Source organism: Homo sapiens, chromosome X, assembly GCF_000001405.40.
Source record: "Homo sapiens chromosome X, GRCh38.p14 Primary Assembly".
NCBI lineage: Eukaryota > Metazoa > Chordata > Mammalia > Primates > Hominidae > Homo > Homo sapiens.
The window spans coordinates 118528811-118554769 of NC_000023.11; the positions used below are offsets into that span (position 1 = coordinate 118528811).

At 40.8% G+C, this 25959-nt stretch overlaps 1 protein-coding gene across 5 annotated transcripts in view, besides 3 other annotated features; it reads left to right on the plus strand.

Moving 5' to 3' along the window:
* The window catches only part of DOCK11 (dedicator of cytokinesis 11), a 190333-nt gene that overhangs the window by 32996 nt on the left and 131378 nt on the right, over positions 1-25959 (plus strand). For 3 of the 5 annotated variants that reach the window (XM_005262368.5, NM_144658.4, XM_011531276.4), the window contains exons 2-6: positions 13915-14031; positions 14116-14205; positions 14701-14783; positions 16513-16582; positions 17211-17306. In XM_005262368.5, the coding sequence (XP_005262425.1) occupies positions 13915-14031; positions 14116-14205; positions 14701-14783; positions 16513-16582; positions 17211-17306 (456 nt within the window). Of the gene's footprint in view, positions 1-4451; positions 9888-13914; positions 14032-14115; positions 14206-14700; positions 14784-16512; positions 16583-17210; positions 17307-25959 lie in introns of those variants that run through there. The other 2 variants (XM_005262369.6, XM_047441841.1) reach the window with 1 other exon arrangement.
* Positions 7360-7409: an enhancer, noted in NCBI's record as "active region_29875". NCBI's record gives its function as "activates an Ori minimal core promoter by ATAC-STARR-seq in GM12878 lymphoblastoid cells {active_cell/tissue: GM12878}" and the evidence as "EXISTENCE:reporter gene assay evidence [ECO:0000049][PMID:35858748]".
* Positions 7640-7719: an enhancer, noted in NCBI's record as "active region_29876". NCBI's record gives its function as "activates an Ori minimal core promoter by ATAC-STARR-seq in GM12878 lymphoblastoid cells {active_cell/tissue: GM12878}" and the evidence as "EXISTENCE:reporter gene assay evidence [ECO:0000049][PMID:35858748]".
* Positions 8120-8169: an enhancer, noted in NCBI's record as "active region_29877". NCBI's record gives its function as "activates an Ori minimal core promoter by ATAC-STARR-seq in GM12878 lymphoblastoid cells {active_cell/tissue: GM12878}" and the evidence as "EXISTENCE:reporter gene assay evidence [ECO:0000049][PMID:35858748]".

Sequence of the window (25959 nt, forward strand, 5' to 3'; positions counted from 1 at the left end):
TGTGAGCTTCAAGGAAGGGAGGGTGGGTGGGATAGACAGAGAGAGAGAGGTTGTTTAGGAGGAAGTTTGACAAGGGGAAAGCTATTACCAGCACAAATGGAGTTTTGCTTGAGTCATCGACTTCTTCTCAGGTTTAATTCAAGTGCGCAACCAATACTGTTTACTTTTTCTTTTTTTTCTTTTTTTTTTTTGAGATGGAGTCTCGCTCTGTCACCCAGACTGGAGTATAGTGGCGCGATCTCGGCTCACTGCAACCTCCGCCTCCTGGGTTCAGGCAATTCCGTCTCAGCCTCCCAAGTAGCTGGGACTACAGGCGCGTGCCACCATGCCTGGCTGATTTTTTTGGTATTTTTAGTAGAGATGGGGTTTCACCATGCTCACCAGGCAGGTCTCAAACTCCTGACCTTGTGATCCGCCTGCCTTGGCCTCCCAAAGTGCTGGGATTACAGGCGTGAGCCACCACGCCCGACCACCCATACTATTTTCTACCTCCCAGCATTTCTTCGTGGGGTGCCTTGTTCTATGAAAACTTCATATATGGCATTGTGAATTTACAAAAAGATAAATTAGTGAGTGATGATTCATACTATTAAAAGTGTTCAGTAGCAGAGCTCCTTTGGACAGCTACCCTAATGTTTGCCTTTCAGTGTTTTAGAGATTGTGGTCATCTAGGAAAGATTGTAAGAGGCAGAAAATCTTAATTCTGAAGGTTAGGAAAATATTGACCATGGATTTGTACTTTGCTCATTTGAAGAGCTAGGGACAGAGCAGTGAATAAGACAACGACACTACAATCACAGAACTTTCATTTAAGAGGGTAGAGAGACAGAAAAGGAAACATCAGGCACTGCACCTTGGCACCTCTGAAATGGGCTGGGATGGCGAAGGAAGCGTAGGAAATAGAATAGCTCTGGGTTTCAGAAGGTGCACTGAATAGGAAGAAGTGGTCACCTGTACTTGGGTAGATAAGGCAGCCTCTTGGGGTCTTGAGGTGGGGGGAGTAGACATAACCAGGCAGAGAGGTCAGGATCATCAAATATGAGATAACATGACCCATTAGGAGGTCTACCCACCCTGATTGGAGGACATGGGGCTGGAGGCTGAAGATGGAGACCAGATCACAAGGGATCTAATAAGCCTTGCTGAACAGTTTGAGCTTTATTCTACAGACTCTGGTGAGCCACTGAAGGGATTGAAACAAAGAAATACTGTGATCCAACATATTTCTCATCAAAAGTTGGACCATTTTGGATCAAATTAGCCATAGGAAAGGTGTTGGGAACAAATTAAGTACAGATTGGCAGCTGATCTTTTCCAAATGAAATATTCTGGTTAATCTCTGTCACACAAGGACAATGCAAACATTTTCTCTCTCTTAAAGAAAGGCTTTTCACATAAGCAGAGTCCTCACTTTATTTTCCTCAATAGTTTTGTATGCAACTCTAATGAGTAGTTTTCCATAATTCAGTGTATTACTCCTGGAAAACATAGACAATAGGACAAATTTTTAGCCTATGCTGTCATTTTATGGATTAATTTCCATTAACGTTGACCTTCTGGCTTTCAGTGGATAAATGTGAGTAAAACATCTGTTCATGTCATTCCCTTGCTTAAAAACCACTTCTGGCTCCCCATCACCTACACTAGGAAACAGTCTAAACTCATTGACTTGGCATATGTGGTCCTCCATAAACGTTCCTTCCCAGCTCATCTTGGCCATTCCTCCCTGTTCTGTACACCCCAGAATCAATGAACACATGGCTTTCTTCTTCTTTGCTAAGACTTATGCTCTCTTCCTTGCCTGCCATGGGGATTTTTATTTCATCCTTCGAGTCTCAGCTCAAAAGCTATTTCCTCTCTGAACTGCCTTCACCAGTGATATGAATCACTCCCTTCCCTGTGTCTGCATGGCACTCTCTGTATCCCCTACCCTAGCCCTTACTCCATTGCATCATAGCTCTTGATTTAGGGATCTCTCTCTCCCTCTAGCCCATGAGTTTGTTAAGGGCAGGGCCCACATCTTGCCTGCTTTTGCCTTCCCAGCTTTGTAGCTCCACTGCCTGACACATGGTTAATGCTCAGTGAATCTATAGAACTAAGTTCTATGTTTTCTATTTCTGTTTATAAGATTCCAGAAGAGCCCTCGGGGAATGACAGAGCAGCAAGCCTCACTTTTGTAGCAGGCTGGTCTGTGAAATATATGGCTATGGTGTAGGAACCTCAAGCATTGAAAACTAACCATTGGAATGAAGAGCAACATGATTTCTGTACTGAGAACTCATCTCTTACTAAATATTGGAGATTTTGTTGTTATTGTTGTTGTTGTTTTGTTTCGTTTTGTTTTTGGATGTATAAGGAAGTGAGGTTGGGTGCAGTGGCTCATGCTGGTAATCCCAGCACTTTGGGAGTCAGGCAGGAGGGTTGCTTGAGGCCAGGAGTTTGAGACCAGTCTGGGCAACATAGGGAGACTTCATCTCTACAAAAATAAAAAAGAAATAGCCAGGTATGGTGGTGGATGACTGTGGTCCCAGCTACTCAGGAGACTGAGGTGGGAGGATCCCTTAAGCCCAGGAGGTTCGGGGCTGCAGTGAGCCATATACTCAAAAAAAAAAAAAAAAAAAAAAAAAAAAAAAAAAAAAAACAGGAAGTGAAGCTGAGTAATTTTATGTTTTACTTTTCTTGACAGCCTTTGAGATATAATCCTCATTCTATACAGCTTAACCATTTGAAGTGTGTATATATATATATATATATATTGTTTTTTTGAAACAGAGTCTTGCTTTGTTGCCCAGGCTGGAGTGCAATGGTGCCATCTTGGCTCACTGCAACCTCCGCCTCCCAAGTTCAAGTGATTCTCCTGCCTCAGCCTCCCGAGTAGCTGGGATTACAGGCGCCCGCCACCACATCTGGCTAACTTTTTGTATTTTTAGTAGAGGTGGGGTTTCACCATGATGGCCAGGCAGGTCTCGAACTCCTGACCTCAGGTGATCCGCCCGCATCAGCCTCCCAAAGTGCTGTGATTAGAGGTGTTAGCCACCACACCCAGCTGAAGTGTATATTTTCATTTTTAGTATATTCAAAGATATGTGAAGTCATCGCCACAATTTTAGAACATTTTCATCACTTCAAGGTTATTTGTTTAAGACAGTCAAAAAACCTTTCATAGAGGTCAACTCTTAAGACTTCTTTTAAATGGTATCTCTGGTGATAGGGGGTTTGTCATAGGGAAGGGAATTGGCTTAAAGAAGAATATAAAGATTATAGATAGGGGCAGGCTTTTTTGTTTCAGAGGAGGATGTGTAATAAAAAAAAAAAAAGCTGAACACCCAAGGGATGGTTTAACGGATGCTGGTCTGACTTAACACCCTTTCTAAGGATAGAGAGAGGCTAAGCTATTGGAGCTTTCATACGGTGAGACCCTATAAAGTTATAGAACATGGACAGGAAAGTGAGACATGGGTTTCTAGAGAGACAAGAATTGGGAAAATAATTACAACTTATTAATAGGAGAGTATGCTGTAAGCTTAATTGAACTTGACTGAAGCTACACGAGAGCAACTGAGGACCAGGATGTGTTAGGGCCAATAGAACGGTAAAATTCAGGGCATGATCAGGAAGGGCTTTTTGGCAGGCATCTGTAGACACCTGCCTCACCTCACCAAGAAAACCCAGTTGAAGAAGGTGTGCCGGCCGGGCGGGGTGGCTCACACCTGTAATCCCAGCACTTTGGGAGGCCGAGGCGGGTGGATCACGAGGTCAGGAGATCGAGACCATCCTGGCTAACATGGTGAAACCCCGTCTCTACTAAAAAATACAAAAAATTAGTCAGGCGTGGTGGTGGGCGCCTGTAGCCCCAGCTACTCGGGAGGCTGAGGCAGGAGAATGGCGTGAATCCGGGAGGCGGAGCTTGCAGTGAGCCGAGATCGCGCCACTGCACCCCAGCCTGGGCGACAGAGCGAGACTCTGTCTCAAAAAAAAAAAAAAAAAAGAAGGTGTGCCTGTTTAGTCACGAGTGGGATACAGGATAAACGTAAATCACCTCACCATATCCTGAAATGTTATACCACAAGGTGGAGCATCTCCTGACATTTTAAAGATAAAGAGGTAAACTGAAGTCAAAGGAGCTATCACTTTATTTACTTTACATAGCTTTTATTTATTTATTTGTTTGTTTGTTTGTTTGTTGTTATTAATTTTTGAGATGGAGATTCGCTCTTGTTGCCCTGGCTGGAGTGCAATGTCATGGTCTCCGCTCACTGCAACCTCCGCCTCCCGGGTTTAAGCGATTCTCCCGCTTCAGCCTTCTGAGTAGCTGGGATTACAGGCGCCCATCACCACATCTGGCTAATTTTTATATTTTTGGTAGAGACAGGGTTTCACCATGTTGGCCGGGCTGGTCTCTAACTCCTGATCTCAGGTGATCTGCCCACCACGGCCTCCCAAAGTGCTGGGATTACAGGCGTGAGACACCACGCCTGGCCTTACATAGCTTTTAGAATATATTATCTCATGCAGTTGTATAAACTTAAAATATTGGTGGGCCCAAAAAAGGTAGAGATAATTTCAATTAATGGATAGATTCAATGTGATGGATGGTGGAAAACTAAAATATTTGTAGAAAGGTGTATTTTTGCCCCTATCAAGGTTGATTTTCAAACTAGAGTCTGTCAGTTTTCTTTACTCCATTATCAAGAGCAAGTTAATGAGATGGGTAGACCGATTGCCAGATCCAGTGTGGAAAATGATGTGTGGCTGCTTTATAGATTACTGAGCTTCTCTAATGGAGTAAGTTTATGCTACTGTGTTCAAATGATACAAACAGGACCTCTAGGAGGTTATGTTTTATTGAATGTAAGTGATTTAGATGGCTAAATCTACATACCTATAGAATGCCTGTGCACTTTACAGTTTTTTCTGCTTAAGAATGCAAGTTATGTTAGAGTTTTGTTTATAAAACTCAGGAAAAAGTCAGAGATGTCTTTTTGTTGTTGTTGTTGTTACAAGTTTAAGGTGAGCACTAAGATCTGAGGCAGGTTATAAAATAGTTGATAGGCATAGAATGAGCACAGTCTAATTTCTCCTTGCAGGAATGAATTATTTGCAATAATTTGTGTATGTCTTTGTGAACTCGTTAAATTCTTTGATTTGTTAGAAAGTCATTATGTATCTCCAAGGCACATTTCTTTTTCTTTCTGTCAATAATGGTGTACTAAAGAATAGAAAAAAAATTCTAATTTTAAAAAGGCTCTTTGCCATTCTAGTCTCTCAATTATTCAAGCCCTTCTTTTCATTTCTTAAACCTCTTTTGTGTTACTTTTGAGTCATTTAAATGCTTATTAGCACAGAGTGAGCACAAAAAGCCAGGAGGAATTGAATTCAAATCAGCTTTCCTACCTGTCAACAAGTTTGTCGAGTAAAGTTTTGGCTAAATTGAGTTTTGGGGTAGAAAGTTCATGAAAATTCTATTTATCCATTTGTAGGTAATCAAGGTTATTTGCATAATATTTGAACTGGCTGTAATGAAAAATGTTTGTTAATAGAGTGTGCACTAATCATATAGTGCATAGTCTTGTTTGTTTCTTATTGTTTTTAAAGTAAATTCTTTGTAAGTTTTTAAAAGTAGCTCTTGAGTTTTTGTAAATAGTTAAATAGACTTGGAAAGGGGAAATAATTCGGCAGTTAAAACAATTTCTTCCCTATGCTAAAACTCTAAGGGAAAAAATGGGTTTTATTTTTCCTTAATGTTTCTATGTTAGATTTAAAGGCCTTCGAAATCATATTGTGCTGATTCTTAGAACATTAAGTTGTTGTTCCTAAATTAAAGCTGGGAAGTGAAAATTTAATTCTGAAAGCATCAGCAACAACTTGTCCTTCTCTCCTTGTGTGCTGCCATTTTAGCTTGGAAGGCATACGTGTAAGAGCAGTCTCTTTGTACTATTTAGCTGGTTATCCCTACACAAAAACTTCTGGCTTTGTAGTTCTCAGGGCTCTCTGCTAGGTTGTGTGGAGGATATTGAGGTGAATTAGACATGGTCCCTTGACAATAGCGTACTGTTGTTTTTTTTTGTAATTTGATTCTTAACCACTTGAAATTGAATCTGCCAACTCCTTTCCCCCAAGTAAAAGACCTAAGGTGCTAATCCCTACTCACTGATGACAAATGCTAAATTGGAAGCAACAGCTTAGGAATGCAAAGATCCTTATCCAATTACATTACAAGCTCTCTAAGCCAGTCATGTTCAGCATCATCAGGGCGATAGGAAGGCAAGATCTCACTTTGGTAAGAATGATAGCGTAGTTTGAGTAAGTTTTAGAAAATTCTAAAATGCAAAGTTCATTCAAGGAAATAAAATGTGGTAGGAGCTGAGAAAATGATTTGCTTTTGTTAAGTTCAACGCATAAAGGTTTATGTGGATCATGGTTAAGAGCACTGGCTTGGGAGTCCATCAGATAAAGATTTGAATCCCAGCTCCACAAATATGTGACACTGGACCTGCCTAAGCCTCAATTTCCTCATCTGTAAAATGGGCATAATAAAATAACCTCTCACAGGATTTTGGGGAGAATTAGATGAGATCATAGATATAAAACGCTTAACCGAGTATACAGCAATGCTTAATGTAAGTGGTAACAGAAAGTACAAGGCACTGTTTGCTGACCGAACCGGTGTTTTTGATCCTGCCTAGGAGACTAAGTAAACCACCCAAAAAGCAGTTAAGTATCCAGGGAATGTTATATATGAGTAAATGCCACAATAGATGGGAAAGACAATAAGGGCTGTTGGGGAGCGAGGAGGGCTATGCTATCATAAGAATCAGGTGAGCTAAGTGTGGGTTGGTAATAAACATGACCCACTGGTCTCATGGAAAGTATGACTTTTCCCTTAGCCGTTTACTTTAAGAAAGGTCAGTGTCCTGAATGCAGTTTGTATTTAGATTCTTATGCCAAGATTTTCCCCAGAAAATAATCTTTATGAAAAGATGTTCATGTCTATTTTGGCAAGTTGGGTTCTGCTAGTTAAAAAGATGCCCCTCCCGCCCCACCACATCACCATTAGATTGTAGTTATGCAAAGCTCCTTCAGTAATTGGAGTTCCTATTGGGGAAGAGACAAAGAGATGAGCTGCTGAAAGATGGTCACATTTGGAACAAACAGGCCATGGTCATAACAAAGTCAAATACTCTTTATTTGAACCTTATGAAGAAATTTCTTACAGGCTGGACACAGTGGCTCATGCCAGCACTTTGGGAGGCTTGATGGGTGGATCACTTGACCTCAGGAGTTTGAGACCAGCCTGGGCAACACGGCAAAACCCCGTCTCTATAAAAAATACAAAAATTAGCCTGATGTGGTGGCACACATGTGTAGTCCCAGCTACTTGGGAGGCTGAGGTGGGAGGATTGCCTGAGCCCAGGGAGGTTGAGGCTGCAGTGAGCTGTGATCAAACTACTACACTCCATCCTGGGCGACAGAGTAAGACCTTGTCTCAAAAAAAAAAAAATCCTTACAGTTATGGTTCCATTATTGACATGCTGTATAGGGTTCCTCTCTAGAAGTCTCTAATCTACAGTGGTGGCATCTCTCACTTCTGTGAATCATAATGCAACTTTTGCTTCTCCTCATATTCACACACCACTCTTGACAGTTACCTAGTCTCTGATCTTACAGGGTTTATGAATAAAACTAGAAGGCAAGATGAAATGATCTGAGACCACATAAATCGATATGATGAAATTCTTCTGATTGATCTAATGGGGAATAGAGGGACTCACACATTTTAGTGTGCAAACACACTTGTACAGTTCCTTTTTTGGAAGAAGATATGGCTATCAAAGGGCATGATAGATGCACAGAAATTACAATAGTCTGTGATCAGCTCTCACATCTTGGGTTTATCTACCTTCCCCACGAGACTGTGAACTTCTCAAGGGCAAGGTCTGTTTTTTTATTCACCTCTGCATTACCAGGGGCTAGCACAGGGCCAGAACCTCAGTAGGAACTCAATAAATGCATCTTTATGCTGAACTCACTTTGTTTTCTGTGCTGCCGGAAATTGCATGCCCCCAGTGGCCATTTTGAGTGCAAAGTGTTATTTTAAGATGCTCTCTAGAGAAAGCACTCTAGGCTCTGCTTACAAATGTCTGAGAGGAAAGGAGAGCCGAATGACTAGGGGATCTGGAGAAATTCCTAAGTGAAGGTCGTGGAGAAATGATGGGAAGGAGAGACTCACCTCTTTTTGAGTGTGCTACTTCTATCCCAAGACTGTTGTTATTTTTCATAAGAAAATGCTCAGATGTCATTGAGGCTGTAGTCTGACTGCAATACTGCAAAAAAGCACTTTTGGGCTAATCATTCTCTTTCTGAAACCAGTAGTTGCCATGTTCCTCCTTGTGCTGAAACTCAGTTTGGAGGATGGGGTGGTGGTAGTGGTGGCGTGGTGGTGCAGGGATGTTTTTGAATTGGCTCTGTGCCCTACTGCTCAGCTTTCTGCCTGCTTTCTGGTATCCCTCCCAGTGTGATAAAGGAGAGATTCTATGATGCCAGTGTTCACTTCAGACTTGCAGAAGAGACATTCTTAGAATTCTTAAGGAGAACTAGTTTCTAAAGTAAAAGATTTACCGGTAAACTAATGACCTTTGGTATGGTATTTAAGCAGAAGTAACCCAGGCTCATTTTGCATTGCTTACAGATAAATATTATGTGATTATTCTTGTGTCTTACACATTTCTAATGATAACATAAATATGCCTGCTAGTCAAATGTGCTTTTGGATACATGAGTGGTTGGATGGTTGAATATATACATTCATGTACATTTTTATGTATTTTAGTATTACAAGCATGGTTTTATATTTATACACATACAGTTACGATGATAAAAGATCAGTCATCCTGTACTGCGAATGTACAGGAACCACCACAAAATTGTAAAGTCTAAGTGGTGATGCTATTAGTGACCCTCAGTGAGGATCCATTGTTTCCTCTCTTTGGACCAAGAAGTGGACTGCAACTGAATCTATTCTGACGAGTTTCCTTTTTTGCTATCTGTCCTTTCCACTTATATTAGAAATAAAATTATCTCAATTTATGGAGCTGTGCATTTCTTCCCATTTGTAGAGTTTGCACATAGAAAGCTCATTGAGATTTGGTCCTTAGTGGCCTGAGTAAGCAACGGAAAAGTGTACTGCATCCCACACCATGGTACCAAAATTGGCATTTTTATTTTACTAGAGATAGAAAAATGCAATTTATTCTCCTTTATGGGATGATATGAAGCTTTCTTTTTCAATAAATGTTTTCAATGAAGAAGATATTTGATTTGAAGAAAAATATGAAGTAAATGATAATACAGATGGTGTGGCAAATATGAGGATTATATGTGAATAAGTTCGGGAAACTAATAGAAACAAGGATTAGGAGTTGGGAGACCTGGGTTTGAATCCTGGTTCAGCTCCTAATGTAGACAGATGAACTTAGGCCTCTGAGCCAGTTTCCTGATGGATAAAGTTGAAATGATGGTATTTTCCTTGTCTACTTGACAAAGCGTTTGGTAACAAACAGAATGCATATGAAAGTGTTTTCTTAAGACTGCAAAGTGACCTTGAAATGAATTAACAAAAAATACTAATATTATTAGCAAGTTATTCAAGAAAACTTAGGAGTCAGTGAATGAAAACTTTTAAGAACAAATCATTTTGTTTTGTTTTGTTTTCCCCATGGTGAAAACTGAGTTGGTTCCAAATTTAGGTTGACGGTTTTCCTGTCACTACTTACGGGAAGAAGACTGAAACATATGCTCACTTCTCTCCAGATTGCATAAATGCCTTCGCCTTTTACTTAGCACTGCTCCGGAACTGTATGGAAGTTGCTATTATTTGAATGTTTAAGGTACCATTTATTGTAACGGGTTTTTGGAGTTATGAAAAAGCACCTTTGCAGGCCAATCAGTGCACACTGGCAGAAAGGATAAATTACAAAGCTGAAAGAAAGACCCTCTTTGAGTGTATTGGAAGCTTTTATGTATAAGTCTAATAATAGAATGAGAAAGCTGAATGAGAAAGTTAGATAAGGGATATGATGGAGACTGCAGGGCAGAACCACCATTAAATCATGATAATTCTATAGGTCAAAAGGTTTTCTTTGTCTCTGATGCCTGCAGAGTTATAACTGAATCCTACTAGAAGGGAAATGCAGGGTTCAGTCCCTTCTCATCTTTCTTCTTGGAGAGATGAATCCTGATTCACAGGCCTAAATCTTCTATTAGGGGAAGCTTTGTGGGACCCAGAGTAGCCACCCTAACTTTTCCGCAATTGAGCTACCCCTGACAAAAAAAGTAGGCGTGAAGACCCAGAATGCTTAGTTTAATCAGTTTTAAATGAAAAGTGAAACTTTGTTTTCTATAACATAAATATATGTCCTTCAAAACATGTGGTAAGCTGTGTTTCATTTTTAGAAGGTATATACTTTTAAATAAATGAGTAATTCAGGAATTGGAGAACATTACGCTAAGTGAAGTATGTCAGGCAAAGAAAGACAAATACTGCATGATCTCACTTATATGTGAAATCTAAAACAATCAAACTCATAGAAGCAGGGTAGAATGGTGGTTACCAGGGGCTGGGGGCAAAGTGGGGGAGATGGTAGTCAATGGTGGGATACAAAGTCTCAGTTAAACAGGAAGAATAAGTTTGGTTTTTTTGAGATCAATAGTATAGCATGCTGAATATGCCTAATAATTGAGTACTGTACATCTTATCACTAAGAATAAATTTCTCATGTTCTCATCACAAGAAATGTTAAATATTTGAGGTGATAGATATAACTAGCTTAATTTCATCATTCTACATTGTATTAAAAATCATAACACCACTTTGTACCCCATAAATTAAAAAAATAAGTGATTCATTTTGACATATTCTTTCCATATTAATTTGGAGCTACATTAGAAAGCTGAAGGAGGGCCAGGCATGGTGGCTCATGCCTGTAATTCCAGTACTTTGGGAGGTCAAGGCGGGGGGATCACCTGAGCTCAGGAGTTCGAGACCAGCCTGGCCAACATGGTGAAACCCTGTCTCTACTAAAAATACAAAGATTAGCTGGGTGTGGTGGCAGGCACCTGTAATCCCACCTACTCGGGAGGCTGAGGCAGGAGAATCGCTTGAACCCAGGAGGTGGAGGTTGCAGTGAGCTGAGATCACGCCATTGCACTCCAGCCTGGGCAACAAGAGCAAAACTCCATCTCAAAAAAAAAAAAAAAAAAAAAAAAAGGAAAAGAAAAGAAAAAAGAAAGCTGAAGGAGGATTTTCTTTTTTTTCTTTTTCAAATATACTTGAAGTAGGTACTTGTAAAATTATTGTACAGAGAAGTTGACAGATTCAACAGGTTAAAACATTGAAATTTGAGGACTGTTTTTGCAATCTGTACTAGGAAAATAGTTGGCACCAAAAGCAAGACTTAGATTATTTTTAGTGCCTCAAGCTTGCTTTCTTAGATAGGACTTATTCATTCAACTTCTCTGAGAAATTGATCTCAGACTGTGAGCGTTAGAGCTGGAAGATGCAGTCAGTTTCCTTTTGAGTCCATGGAAACACGGTAGATATGGCCGAAAGGGGTCAGATTTTTCTGTCAGAAAATCTGAATTTCTCAAATAGGATTTTTTCCTTTTATTTCAACTCATTTTGCAGTAGTATTTGCAGACATGAGAGGGATGATCAACTTGCTTTGATCTTTGTAGACATGGGTCTACAAATCCAAATTTAAGACTTGAAATAAAGCATAAAGGTTAGGATCTTTTAGATTTGTTGAACACTGAGCTCATTGGTCAGAGTAGTTTACTTTAATCTTTCTAAATAATCTTCTACAGGAAACTCTGAGATGCCCTTCCGATATGGAAATTGGGTATAGCTGTGACCTGTTGTGAACCATGTATAAAAACTATTCTCAACTTTTCTATGGATGTAGTGATACTAGAGACTACCTCAAATACTATGTACAAAAATACAAGTATAATCCCGATGCTATTATAATATTAAGTCTTAATATAAATTATATTTGGGGTTTTTATACAGTTTTTATTATAAAATTTTAAGGAAATAATTTCATATGAAACATCATCATTAAAAATTACTACTGTCTGCCCACCTTGGTTTAGAATAGAGTGTTGAGACATGGCTCTGGTTGAATCTGAATATCTCAAAGTTCATCAGCAATTAATGACTGGATGTCTACCGTGTGCCAGGTATTCTAAGTGCTGGGATTAAAGAAGTAAACAAATAAAAGAAAATCCCTGCCCTCAAATAGTCAGAGAGGTGAAATAGATGGTATATCAGATTGTGGTAAGTTCAATGAAGGAAAAAAAATGATAGGAAGGTAAATAGTGGGATCCCATTCCCAGTTCAGTACCATGCACATGAGAATCTTGGTATATTTCTTTCTTTTTCTTTCCGCCCCCCGCTCCCCCGCAGTTGCAGGGGTCAAGGGCTGGTGGTGTGCATGCATGACAGCTGTGGGTGCATGTACAGTAGTGATGGCCAGTGGTGGAAGTCAGGGTCACCTCATATGGCTGTGGGGGTTGAGGCTTATGGCATGCACACCTGTGACAATGAAAACTAGTGATGATAGACATTGAAGTCAGTTGCATGTGTACACACAGCTGCAGGGTCAGCCATGGGTGTGCAGAAGTGGGTGCCGTCTTTGTGTATTTCTGAGGGGAAAAAGAAAAGCAGAGCCTTTGCAGTCACAGACCTGGGTTTGAATTCCAGTTCTGAAGGCAGGCAAGTTACTTAACCTCAGTTAGGTCCAGAGTCTCTGCATCTGTAAAATGGGGATAATGATTCAATCTGTTTCATATTGCTATGAGTGTTACATGAAAAAATGTACAGAAAGCGCTTAGCACAGTGCCTGGCATATAGAAAGGGCTCAGTAAATGTGAACTGTTACCACTACTCTTATTATGTTACATCCTGGCTTTCTTAGCATCACTGACCCTGCTTCTTGTTACTTTAGCTTCAGTCTGGGTCCTACTGTCAATGGCCAGCTCGCCTAGAAGTCCAGCAGGGATCCACTGACTTTGTCACCTTGAACCTAACCCTTTCATAACCTGCCCAAGGGATCAAGCATCTCTAGTATCTATGCCTGCCCTGGATATGCTGGAACTTAGTATGCCCATGGGACAGTGTCCCTGGTACAGAGTAGGAACATGAATGTTGATACTTTCTCCTCCAACGTTGCCCAGAGAGTAGTACAGATGCAGTAAATACCAACAGGCACACTTCCAAGTATGCCACTTTTTGTTTTACTTAAAATTCAATAATTTTTAGAAGGCACACAGATTAAGTAGAATAACACAGTTCTATTTCTCCAGAACTTTTTTTTTTTTTTTGGAGAGACAGGATCTTGCTCTGTTGCCCAGATATAAGTGGCACAATCACGGATCACTACAACCTCAACCTCCCAGGCTCAAGTGATCCTCCTGCCTCAGCCTCCCGAGTGGCTGGGACTACAGGCATGGGCTATCACACCCAGCTAATTTTTGTACTTTTTGTTGAGATGGGGTTTTCTCATGTTGCCCAGGCTGATCTCTAATTCCTGGGCTCAAGTCATCCACCTTCCTCAGCCTCCCAAAGTACTGGGATTACAGGCATGAGCCACCATGCCCAGCCAGAACTCTTTATCTTTAGCAAGAGAATGTCTGTGTGTGTGTGTGTGTGTTTGTGTGTGTGTGTGTGTGTGTGTGTATGTGTTTGTGGTGTGTGTCTAGCTATGAAGACTATTTCTCTTGTGAAACTGTCTCAATTAAGTACTTAAAAGTATCAGTAATCCCTTCCTTTGAGAAGTAATGTATCTTTAGTACATAGAAAGTTATTTAACTCTTGTGAGTTTGATCATAATAACTTTACTTTTGTCTCTTATAAAGGAAAAGGCCAAAGTTGTTGAGCCCCTGGACTATGAGAATGTTATTGCCCAAAGAAAAACCCAGATTTACAGCGACCCCCTCCGAGATCTGCTTATGTTCCCAATGGAAGATATATCTGTGAGTTCACAAACACTTCTTTAAAGAAAAAAACCCCTATTTTTCAAGCCAGTTCTTACAGCAAAAATGTTCTTTGTGTTCTAGATCTCGGTGATAGGTCGTCAACGCAGAACGGTGCAGTCTACTGTACCAGAAGATGCTGAAAAGAGGGCCCAGAGTTTATTTGTTAAAGAGGTAAGAGGCTCAAAGGCCACAGAAGAATATTCTTCATATATTTAAAATATATACAGTATTTATATGTCTTTATGTATTTGTAACCTGTTTATAAATACATAAATGTAAAATATTTAAAGTAGTCTTCCTTTAATGTAAAGGTAAAATAAAATAACTAACATTAACTGTCCTAAATAACAAGTTTATATGCTGTTAACAAGTCTATATGATGATAAAGCTTAAACATTTCCACAAGGTGCATATGACCTTAGTGTTTTCCTTTTGGATTTGAATACTCTTTGCACTGAGAGTCAGAGTATTCAAAGGGCATATGAATTGGGATTTATTGCCACCAACTGGGTAAGAGAGACACAGTTAACCCATAAAGGAAGATCCCAGTACTAGTAATTGCCAAATGGTTTTAGAAAGCCTGTCGGCATAGTACCAGAGTTTTAAAAAGTGGATATATATGTACTTTTCCTATATTTCAAATTCAAGATTCCTATTTTCTTTCAGTGTATTAAAACCTATAGCACAGATTGGCACGTGGTAAACTACAAGTATGAGGACTTCTCTGGGGACTTTCGAATGTTGCCATGGTAAGTTTAGCATTCCAGGGAAACATGCAACAGGAGAATTATTAAGCTTTTTTACCTTGTTAAAACCACTTGTGAGGCCGGGTGCAGTGGCTCACGCCTGTAATCCCAGCACTTTGGGAGGCCGAGGCGGGCAGATCACAAGGTCAGGAGATCGAGACCATCCTGGCTAACACGGTGAAACCCTGTCTCTACTAAAAATACAAAAAATTAGCCGGGCGTGGTGGCAGGCGCCTGTAGTCTCAGCTACTTGGGAGGGTGAGGCAGGACAATGTTGTAAACCCGGGAGGCGGAGGTTGCAGTGAGCGGAGATCATGCCATCACACTCCAGCTTGGGCGACAGATAGAGACTCCATCTCAAAACAAACAAACACCACTTGTGAAACCTTTCAGTTATAATTTGTAATAAAGCAAATCTTCAAGGAACCTGCATGTTTGGTTAAATGCAGTGTTTTGGTTAATTGAATAGGTTTTAACTTTCCTCTTTGAAATTCCAAAATGTATGAGAGCTCACTTTTTGGCTTTAGTGAACCTGTATTGATCATAAACTAAAATATAGCTGATGATGGATAATGTAGTGAGCATTTTCCAGTAGTGTCAGTGAAAAAGCTTGATGATAATTAGTTCAGTTTGATGAACCTAGCCATCCCTTGGAAAAAGTGCATCTCTTTCAGTTGAATTGAAGGAATGGCATGAGCACACTGGCCCAGGAGCCAGACTGTTGGGGCTCAAATCTTATTTCTACCACTTACTAGCTGGATGACCATGGCTCAGTCACTTAACCTGTTTGAGCTCTCCATTTTCTCATCTCTAGCACTAATTCCTCACAGGATGTCATATGGGAAATGTTTTTGGAACAAATAGCAGAGGAATAAGACATTTGTTTAGCCTTTTGTAGTTTTCAGAGCACTTTCCAAAAGAGGAGAAAACTGAGTCCTATATGACAGCCTGGTCCTTGGGAAAAAAAAAGAAAAAGAAAAAGAAAACAGAGTCCTAAAATGACCAGTCCAAGGTCATACAGCAAACAAATGCAAGAGCCAGAATTACACTGTTGCTTTTTTTTTTTTTTTTTTTTTTTTTTTTTTTTGAGACAGAGTTTCGCTCTTGTCACCCAGGCTGGAGTGCAGTGGCGCGATCTCGGCTCACTGCAACCTCTGCCTCCCGGGTTCAGGTGATTCTTCTGCCTCAGCCTCCTGAGTAGCTGGGCTTACAGGCACCCGCCATCACCCCCAGTTAATTTTTTTTTTTTTTTTAATTTTTGGTAGAGACGGGGTTTCACCCTTTTGGCCAGGCTGGTCTTGAACTCCTGACCTCAGGTGATCCACCCGCCTCTGCCTCCCAAAGTGTTGGGATTACAGGTTTGAGCCACCACGCCTGGCCTGTGTTGCTTTTTGACCCGGGGAAGGAGAAGTTCTGCCACCACTAACAGCTCTGGCACAGGTTCCTTAGCAACTTCTGCCCTCCCTAAGTTTCTGGGCTTAGTTATGTCTTCGCTGCTGGCCACATATGTGGAAGTCCTTACAGAAACACAAACTTACAGTAAGTTTACTCAGAGGGGATAATCTGAATTTGGAAAGGAGAATAGGATGTCTTGGCATTTTCTCGTTTGTGAAAGAAAGAAATCTGCTCATCTTGCTTTTACTGTTGTTGTCATTATTGTTGTGTTTTTGTGTTGTTTTTCTTTTTTTTTTTGGTCTTTTTAGTGTCTAAGACAGTTCTCTTATATTTGCAGTAAATCTTTGAGACCAGAAAAGATTCCTAATCATGTATTTGAGATAGATGAAGACTGTGAGAAAGATGAGGTAAGAATGGGGGCAACAGTTGGGGTAACTGTGCTAGTTTCCTCACGGTCACTTTGCTGAAAAAGATTTCAAAGGGAATTTCTTGAGAAAATATGAAGGAAATAATTATTCTGGAATGATCTGTGGCCAGCTTTCAAACCGGGTGCTTTTCAATTTTTTTTTTAATTACTGTATTTCCAAGTAGGGTTTAGGAAAAAAAATCAAGTGAGAGGGGCTATGATTTGTACATAAACATGTTCCCCCACCTGTGGGACATGCTTGTGGAGTTGCTTTTCTTGAGTTGGGCATGTGGTGTGGTGATTCATCTGGACTCTCCTGCCTGATAGATTCCTCTTGGGACAGATGGCCCGGATGTCTGTGACATTTCGAGGTGCAGTTCGACTGTTTACATAATGCAGAAGATTTCCCAGAAGAGAGCCCATACCATTCAGTAAATACTGAGTGCCTACTGTGTGCATAGCACAGAGCCTTTCATTCTACAGTCAACTATTTTAAATCCTCACGGGGAAGAGGGGACTTTATGTTTTAATTAGGAAATGGGCAGGGCCTCATTCTGTGCCCCTAAATGTTTCGCTAATTAGATGGCAGGCTGGCTGTTGTTTTACTGATAATTTTTGTTCTATTTCAGGACTCATCTTCTTTATGTTCTCAGAAGGGTGGTGTGATAAAACAAGGCTGGTTGCATAAAGCAAATGTAAATAGTACCATCACAGTAACCATGAAGGTAGGAAGTAGTTATTATATTATTCCATCATTTTAATGATATTGGCATAAGTAGTCTATCTGGAAACAATATTTATTTTACAAAGAGCCCTAGCAAAAAAAAAAAAAAAAAAAAAGGAGAGGATTCTCACAGACGTATGGAATTTAAAAAATCTAAAACATCAGGATAAATTTAGAAGTGCAACTTTTTAAAGACATATAATGTAATGATTATCTGGTGAATCAGGATGTTTAAAAAGGAGGCTGTCAGTTGAAGGAGGAAAATAGCTTTGAAAAATGGGCATCAAAGTTTCATATGTAGAAATGACCTTAATGAGTGGAAGGACAAGTAATCCATTTCTTTAGCAAATATTAATTAGGTACTTATTACATATTAGTCACTGTGGGGAAATATGTAGATATCTAAGATGTGGTCCTTGGTCTCAGCCTCTAGACTAGACAAGAAATATACTATTTTAACTAGTATACAAAGCAGTCCTTTAGTGCAGTGAGAACAGTCTAACTAGAAAGTTTTGTAGTTTGACAGGATAGTGAGTTTGCATAAGGGGTTTAAGTGAGCTAAAAGTTGAAACGTTGAAAAGGATAAAATTGGGCTGGGTGCAGTAGCTCACACCTGTAGTCCCTCCTTCTTTGGGAGGCCGAGGTGGGTGGATTGCTTGAGGGCAGGAGTTCGAGACCAGCCTGTGCAACATGATGAAACCCCATCTCTACAAAAACTACAAAAATTAGCCTGGCGTGATAGCACACACCTGTAGTCCCAGCTACTCAGGAGACTGAGGTGGGAGAATCCCTTGATCCCAGGAGATGGAGGTTGCAGTGAGCCAAGATGGCACTACTGCATTCCAGCCTGGGCAACAGAGGGAGAGTGTATCTCAAAAATAAATAGATAATTTTTTTTTTTTTTACAAAAAAGGATAAAATTGTGCAGAGCCTTGAACACCTTGGACATGAGGTTCACTTATTTGGGAGGCTGTAAAGAGCCATTAAAATCCAAAGGGAAAACAAGCTACATGAGGATTCTGAGCAGAAAAACAAATTATGCTCTGATACCAAATATAACTGTTCTTTCAGATATTCAATATAAAATCATGTGGTTTTCTGAGGATGATTCACACTTGCATTAAGTATTGAAGGTCATTCTATCTTTCACACAGGCTGCAAGTAGAAACCGTGGGTATCTACCAAGGGAAGACTCAAATTTTATCTTAATTTAATATTTTGCCTGCTGCCTTCCCTTTGGTGATCATGTCCTGTTCTCACTTTCATTTTCAAGCCCTGAAAATAATGAATCCAAGTTGTAGGATACTTCCTGTATATCGCTTGCACCTAAGCATGGGCATCAGCAAGTGGTGATAATAAGAGAAACCATTTATTAAGGACTTAATACGTACCAGACACCATACTGGGTGTTTTATATTCTGTATCTTGTTTAATTCTCATGGCTGCCCTATGCAATAGGTACTGCTAACTATTCTTAGTTTATAGATTTGGAAAGTGAAGCTCAGAGAAATTCAATAATTAACCCAAGGTCCCACAGCTCCAAGTTTTCAGAGGTAGGATTTGAACCTAGGCAGGCTGATGTCAGAGCCTATGCTCTTAACCAGTATACTATCAGTGCTCACTAGCTGAATGAGACTCAAGGGTTTATTAACAATATATTTCGTGCCAGAGTTATCAGGTTCAGAAATGTACGTGAAGGTTACATTTCTGTGTGGATTATCAGAAAATGGTTGTATCGTTTTTGACTGCATTCCCTTTCCCGCAGATTCTCAAAATATTCAAATAGGGCCAGGCAGGAGGCTCATACCTGTAATCCCAGCACTTTGGGAGGCCAAGGCAGGAGGATCGCTTGAGCCCAGGAGTTCGAGGCTGCAGTGAGCTATGATCACACCACTGCACTCCAGCCTGGGCAACAGAATTAGATGCTGTCTCTAAATTAAATAAATAAATGCATGAAGGAATGAATGGTTTTAACCACATTTAAGCCTTAGCCTCACATTAAGTAAATGTGCAAAAATCTGGATTCATAAAATAAGATGTTAGGAAATTAATATCTTTACAGAATAATTCGCCACAGATTCCTTTAGTTTAATACCTTTCAACTTTAATTTGCCTTACAAACAACTTCTAATTTTGTAGGAGTCCATATATTATAAGCCAAAAAGCACATGCTTTACATTTTCTCTCATAATTTGTGAAATACACATTGATTGATTGATGTGATAGGAGGAATTGATGGCCTCTCAAAGATGTCCATGTCTTAATCCCTGGAACCAGTCAATGGTCCCCTACATGGCAAAGAGGAATTAAAATTACTAATCGGCAGGAGGGACGGTATCCACAATTATGCGGGTGGGCCCAGTGCAATTTCAAGAACCCCATAAGTGGAAGAGGGAGGCAGAAAAGGACAGTCAGGGAAAGAGATGTAAGGATAGTCAGGGAAAGAGATGTGAGAACAGAAGGAGGGCCAGAGAGAGATGCTGTCTTGCTGGCTTTGAGGGTACAGAAAAGACTCACAGGCCGAGAAATGCAGGCAGCTTCTAGAAGCCGGAAAAGGTAAGAAAATGGATTCTCCCATGCAGCATCCAGAAAGGAACATAGCCCTGCTGACACCTTGAATTTAGCCCAGTGAGACCCATGTCAGACTTCTAACCTGCGAAACTATAAGATAATAAATTTGTGCTATTTTAAGCCATCAAATTTGTGCTAATTTATTACAACAGCAATAGGAAACTAATACAATTAGTTAGGCAAAGGTTGATTGTTCAGCTTGTGTGTTTCTTATCCCTGAGCTTGGAAACTCTAGCACTAACAGTGACCAGGCGGGAGCCATAAATTCATAGAGTGTGTGATGGGTCCGAGGCAACCTGGTGACCACATAGCCCACAGCTGAAGGGGACAGCTGCCACTTGTCTCCAGCTAATTGTTGTTTTGCTGCAGCTGAGCTAGGCTCTTTGCTTTGCCTCTTTTTATCCTCAGCTGCTCATATTCTGTGTGTGTGTGTGTGTGTGTGTGATCATTAACATATAAAACTTTTTTTTTTTTTGAGATGGCTCCTAGCTCTGTTGCACCAGGATGGAGTGCAGAGGTGCAATCTCAGCTCACTGCAACCTCCACCTCCCGGGTTTAAGCCATTCTCCTGCCTCAGCCTCCTGTGTAGCTGGGATTACAGGTGCACGCCACCATGCCTGGCTAATTTTTGTATTTTTATTAGAGACGGGGTCTCACCATGTGGCCAGGCTCGTCTCGAACTCCTGATCTCAAGTGATCCACCTACCTCAGCCTCCCAAAGTGCTGGGATTACAGGTGTGAGCCACTGTGCTCGGCCTATTTCTTTCTTTTTAAAATCTCTACCAAACATCAGGCAAAGGAAGGAAAAGAGGAATAAACCAAGTTAATTGGTCATATGAAGCTACACAACTTTTATGTTTATTTTTATCATTTATTTATTTGTTTTTGAGACAGTCTCACTGTGTCGCCCAGGCTGGAGTGCAGTGGCGTGATCACGGCTCACTGCAGTCTCAAACTCCCAGGCTCAAGCAGTCCTCCCACTTCAGCCTCCCAAGTAGCTGGGACCACAGGCACATAGCACCGTGCCCAGCTAATTTTGTTTGTTTGTTTGTTTGTTTTTGATAGAGATGGGGTCTCCCTATGTTGTGCAGGCTGGTCTCAAACTCTTGGACTCAAGTGATCCTCCCACCTTGTCCTCCCAAAATTCTGAGATTACAGGCATCAGCCACCATGCCTGGCTACTACACAGCTTAAAAAAAGTTAATAGGAAATACTTTGAAATGCAAAGGCCATATTGAGGTTTGGGAGCTGTTTCTGGTTATGAGTTTCCTTTATCCCCACTCTTTTCCATTATAAATTATGAATCTCCATTTTGAATTTCAAACTCTTCTGATTTCATCTCCTGAGCCATAGCAGTAGTGTTGTATTTCAGAATTTGTCACAGCTAGAATGGGAATCAGAGGAAGGTTCAGCTAGAACCTTCTGAGGCATTTTGCCAAGATTACTTTTTCCTCTAATAATTGTATTTTGGGCCAGGCGTGGTAGTTCATGCCTATAATCCCAGCAGTTTGGGAAGCCAATATGGGAGGATCACTTGAACCCAGGAGTTTAAGACCAGCCTAGGCAACATAGCGAGACCCTGTCTCTACAAAAATGAACAAAATTAGCCATGTGAATTGGTGCTCCCCTGTAGTCCCAGGTACTTGGGACATTGAAGTAGGAGGATCACTTCAGCCTGGGAGGTCGAGGCTGTAGTGAGGCGAGATTGAGCCACTGCACTCCAGCCTGGGTGACAGAGTGACACCTTATCTCAAAAAAAAAAAGTGTTTTAACTGTTATTTAGTTCAACATTATTGAAATTAGTTGGAACTGCAGTGTTGACACATCATTTTTTCATGTTCTCTTTCTGTATCAATACAGGGCAAGTGAGTGTATGGGGCAGAGGATTGAAAAGGGGGAGCAGTTTTATAGTTTCCAGGCTAGAACTTGAAGTGAAGGCCAAAGCACAAGTCCAGGCCTATGAACAAAGGCACACTGGGAGAGTCTGGTTTGTACCTTTCAGTGCTCTGTTACAGGGTGGGGGATCATATAAGTTCTTCCTGCATCACGTCTGGATTGTTTCAGGCATAGGAGGCTAAAGCTAAAGATGAGGTGAGCAGCTGACCCAGCTCTTGGATAATTGGAAAAGGCAGAGGCAGAAGAACTGAGACAAAGGGTTGACAGAGTTTGAGAGGAAAGTTTCTATGTATTTTTTTTCTACTATGGTAATGTTTGAAGTGAAGAATACTAATGAAGCTCATAAGCAAATGGGAAGATGACTCAGGTGTGCTATTATCTGAGTCATTTCCCCAATCCTGGAGGCAGGTTTATCCTTAGAGCATCTGGAGTTCCCTGCCCGCTAGGAACTCCAGCCCACACTGGTAAGAAGCATTGGTAGATTTAGCAACCAGCACCTCAGGGCCAGAGCTTGCAGAGTTGAGAGCAAAGAATCTTTTCTTTTTGGAAAATCCAAGCTTCGATAGCCCCTGCAAACTCATGGCAAACTAACTAGGAAGCAAGAGCAGATCTGGTTATTAACCATGACTCAGTGGCAAATAACAGCCTCCATAAGCCAAGCTTCTTCCCTGTGTTTTAGCTGAGCTTATTTGATGCCCTGTGGCTTGACACTGGCCTGCAGTTCCCTCTGGAATTGCTAGGGAATAAAAGCAAGGCATCTTGGTGCCTTTTAGAGAGAGGTGTACGTTTAAGCGTCTTTATTCATTAAGAAATTTCTAAATTTTAAAAATTATGTGCTGGGCATAGTGGCTCATGCCTGTAATCTTAGCACTTTGGGAGGCCAAGGCAGGAAGATGGCTTGAGTTTGGGAGTTCGAAACTAGCCTGGGCAACATAGCGAGCCCTGTCTCTTCAAAAAATAAAAAAATTAGCTGGGCATGGTGACGCATGCCTGTATTTGCAGCTACTTGAGAAGCTGAGGTGGGAGGATCGCTTGAGCCTGGGAGGTCAAAGCTACAGTGAGCTGTGATTGCATGACTGTACTCCAGTCTGACTGACAGAGCAATACTCGATCTCTTAAAAAAAAAATTACAGTCAGTTCTTTGGAAAGTTTGAAATTATGCGCAACTTTAAACTGATCTTAGAAATAGGTCTGAGTTGTTTTGCTGGACATTTTGACTGTTAGAAATAAAGGAATCTGCCCAGGCGTTCATGACCAGCCTGAGCAACATGACGAAACCTCGCCTCTACAAAAAATACAAAGGTAGTTAGCTAGGCGTGGTGGTGCACTCCTATAGTCCCAGCTACTCTGGAGGCTTAAGTGGGAGGATCACCTGAGTTTAAGAGGTGGAGGTTGCAGTGAGCCAAGATTGTGCCACTGCACTCCAGCCTGGGTGACAGAGCGACACTCTGTCTCAAAAAAAAAAAAAAAGGGAGGGAGGGAGGACTCTAATAGCAAGGAAGGGAGGAATCACATCGTGAGAGAAAGTGCAAAAATAAAACGAAGGAAAGAGTATTAGAAGAGACTCAGCAAAGTGCAGTTGATAAAAGGGAATTAGAAGATTCCAACTTTATAAGATCTTTTGAGAAAGCAACCACATGGCCTTTAATGCAATCTAAATAATATAGCCAAACTAATTTGTATATGGGTTGCTGTAGACAGTTTAACCTTCCTAGCTAGCTTGCCAGCAAGTTTTGCAAGAACATTCAAGTCGACAGTTCTTGCAATGACTTGCAGTGCATTCAAGTCGATGGGCTGTAGGGAAAAGAGGGGCTAGTAGAGGAACTAGGCTGAGTTCTTCGTATTGGAAGATTATAAGACCACATATTTATAGGATAAAAATTTATATTTTCCCCAATATATAGCTTTCCCCCTGCTCTGGTCAGTTGTTAAGATATAATCTGTACCACCTTCTGAAATGGGCATATTTTCCCAGAAGTGCTTGCTGAGTATAACCTCATTGTTGGCTGAGAAACTTGCCCTGAGGAGCCTGGACTACAGGAAAGCTGCGAATAATGTGCATCACTCCACGAGTCACAGTGCTCTGTGCCCAAGCACTTCCTCTCACTGAAGAGGATGCATCATGCAGTTCTTGCAGAAGCTCTGTTGTACTGGGTGTGGTGGCATGTGCCTGTAATCCCAGCAACTTAAGAGGCTGAGTCAGGAGGATCGCTTGAGCCCAGGAGTTTGAAGCTGCAGTGAGCTATGATTGTGCCACTGCACTCCAGCCTGAGCACAAAGCGAGACCTCATCCCCTTTTTTTTTTCAAAAAGAAAACCCCAAAAAACAAAAAACCAACGCTCTGTTGGTTGTTTGGGTGCAGTGAACATTTAGCACTTGTAATTTGCTTTGTTCTTGGTATTCAAGTTAAAACAGGACAAGCCTTATCATAGTGATTAATTTCGTCAATTTGTGGTTTCTAGTTAATGAGGAGGTACCTTGCTGCCACTCTTCAATTCCTGGAAAAGTATTAGAGAGAAGTTTTAAGATGTCATAGAGAATACATGATCCTTTAGACAGAAACCACAATCCTAACAGACCCCTATTCATTTACATTCTCTCTTTCCCAAGTAGCTGCTAGAGACATCTGCTTTATTCAACTTCTTTTCATATCAATGAAGGAATTTAATGTGGGTTTAGATAGCTGTGATATTGGACATAGCCTTCCCCTGGTATTTAGAACTATTTCTCCTAAGAGATATAATGATATATGGAGGAATTTAATCTTCAGGGTGGTTTTTCATTTTTTAAAAAATTGCTGCAGATTCTTGGCCAACTCCTGGGACACCCACCTTTATGCATCTTTTTGGCTCAATTTGGTCACATTCCTCTAGCTCTCTCCTCCCCATTCTCAGCAATTAAACGCTGAAGTGCCTTGATATGATATCGGGGTTGCAAGTTCAACTGGTTGATGTATGACTCACTTCTAGTGCCCTTTAAAATTTTTTTGGCACAAAAAGAGCCATTTGTTATATATCCAGAGTCCAAAAGTCCTTAAATCCTTAACTCTTCCAGGAGGGATTTTTCCTCCTCTGCAGTGGGAGAACATCAAATCAAATGAGGATTTGACCTAAGAAAGCACATACAATATTAAAATAATTGCTAGGAGGTCAAGGTCACTATGTGTGTTAGAACAAAAGGAAGAGAAAATATTTTATTTTTGATATCTTAGTCCAATTGTATTCTCAAATCTACCAGACTATCTCTTACAGCTAACAAATGGATTGCATTCATTTATTATGCATAAGATTTTTTCATTAATTTGTTTTTTATGTTTTGTTTTCTCTCATTCATATTACTTCTCAAAAACTATTTATTAGGTGCTTCATATGTGTCAGACACTATTGGGTATCAACAAATTCATGACCAAATAGATAATTTCTTAATTTAATTTTTTCAGAGACAAGGTCTTACTATATTGCCCTGGCTGGAGTGCAGTGGCACAATCATAGCTCATTGCAGCCTCCAACACCTGGGCTGAAGCGATCCTCTTGCCTCAGGCTCCCAAGTACCTGAGACTACAGGTGCATCCCACCACGCCTGGCTACCAAATAGATATTGAATGCCTTGTTAATACAAGGTATTAGCATTGTGGAGGGTAGAGAGAAGTGTCAGATGTAGAGCTTAAAACCTTTTTGGGAAGGTGGGCTGGGCACAGTGGCTCACACTTGTAATCCCAGCACTTTGGGAGGCTGAGGTGGGCTGATAACTTGAAGTCAAAAGTTCAAGACCAGCCTGGCCAACATAGTGAAACCCTGTCTCTACTAAAAATACAAAAATTAGCCAGGCGTCGTGGTGTGCACCTGTAATATCAGCTACTCGGGAGGCTGAGGCACCAGAATCTCTCGAACCCGAGAGGCAGAGGTTGCAGTGAGCTGAGATCGCACCACTGCACTCCAGCCTGGGCAACAGAGTGAGACTCTGTCTCAAAAAAACAAAACAAAACAAAAAACCACCTTTTTGGGGAGGTGAGACACACAATAAAAATAATTGTTTAAAGATGGTACAGTGACCAAGTGCTACATGAATCTAGATCATTGTGGCCTGGGGTCAGAGAAGGCTTCTTGAAGAAGGCGGGGCCTCGAAGGAAGTGAATCAGAAAGGAGAAAGTGAGTGTGCCAGGCAATATGTATAAGGCAGAATGGTTA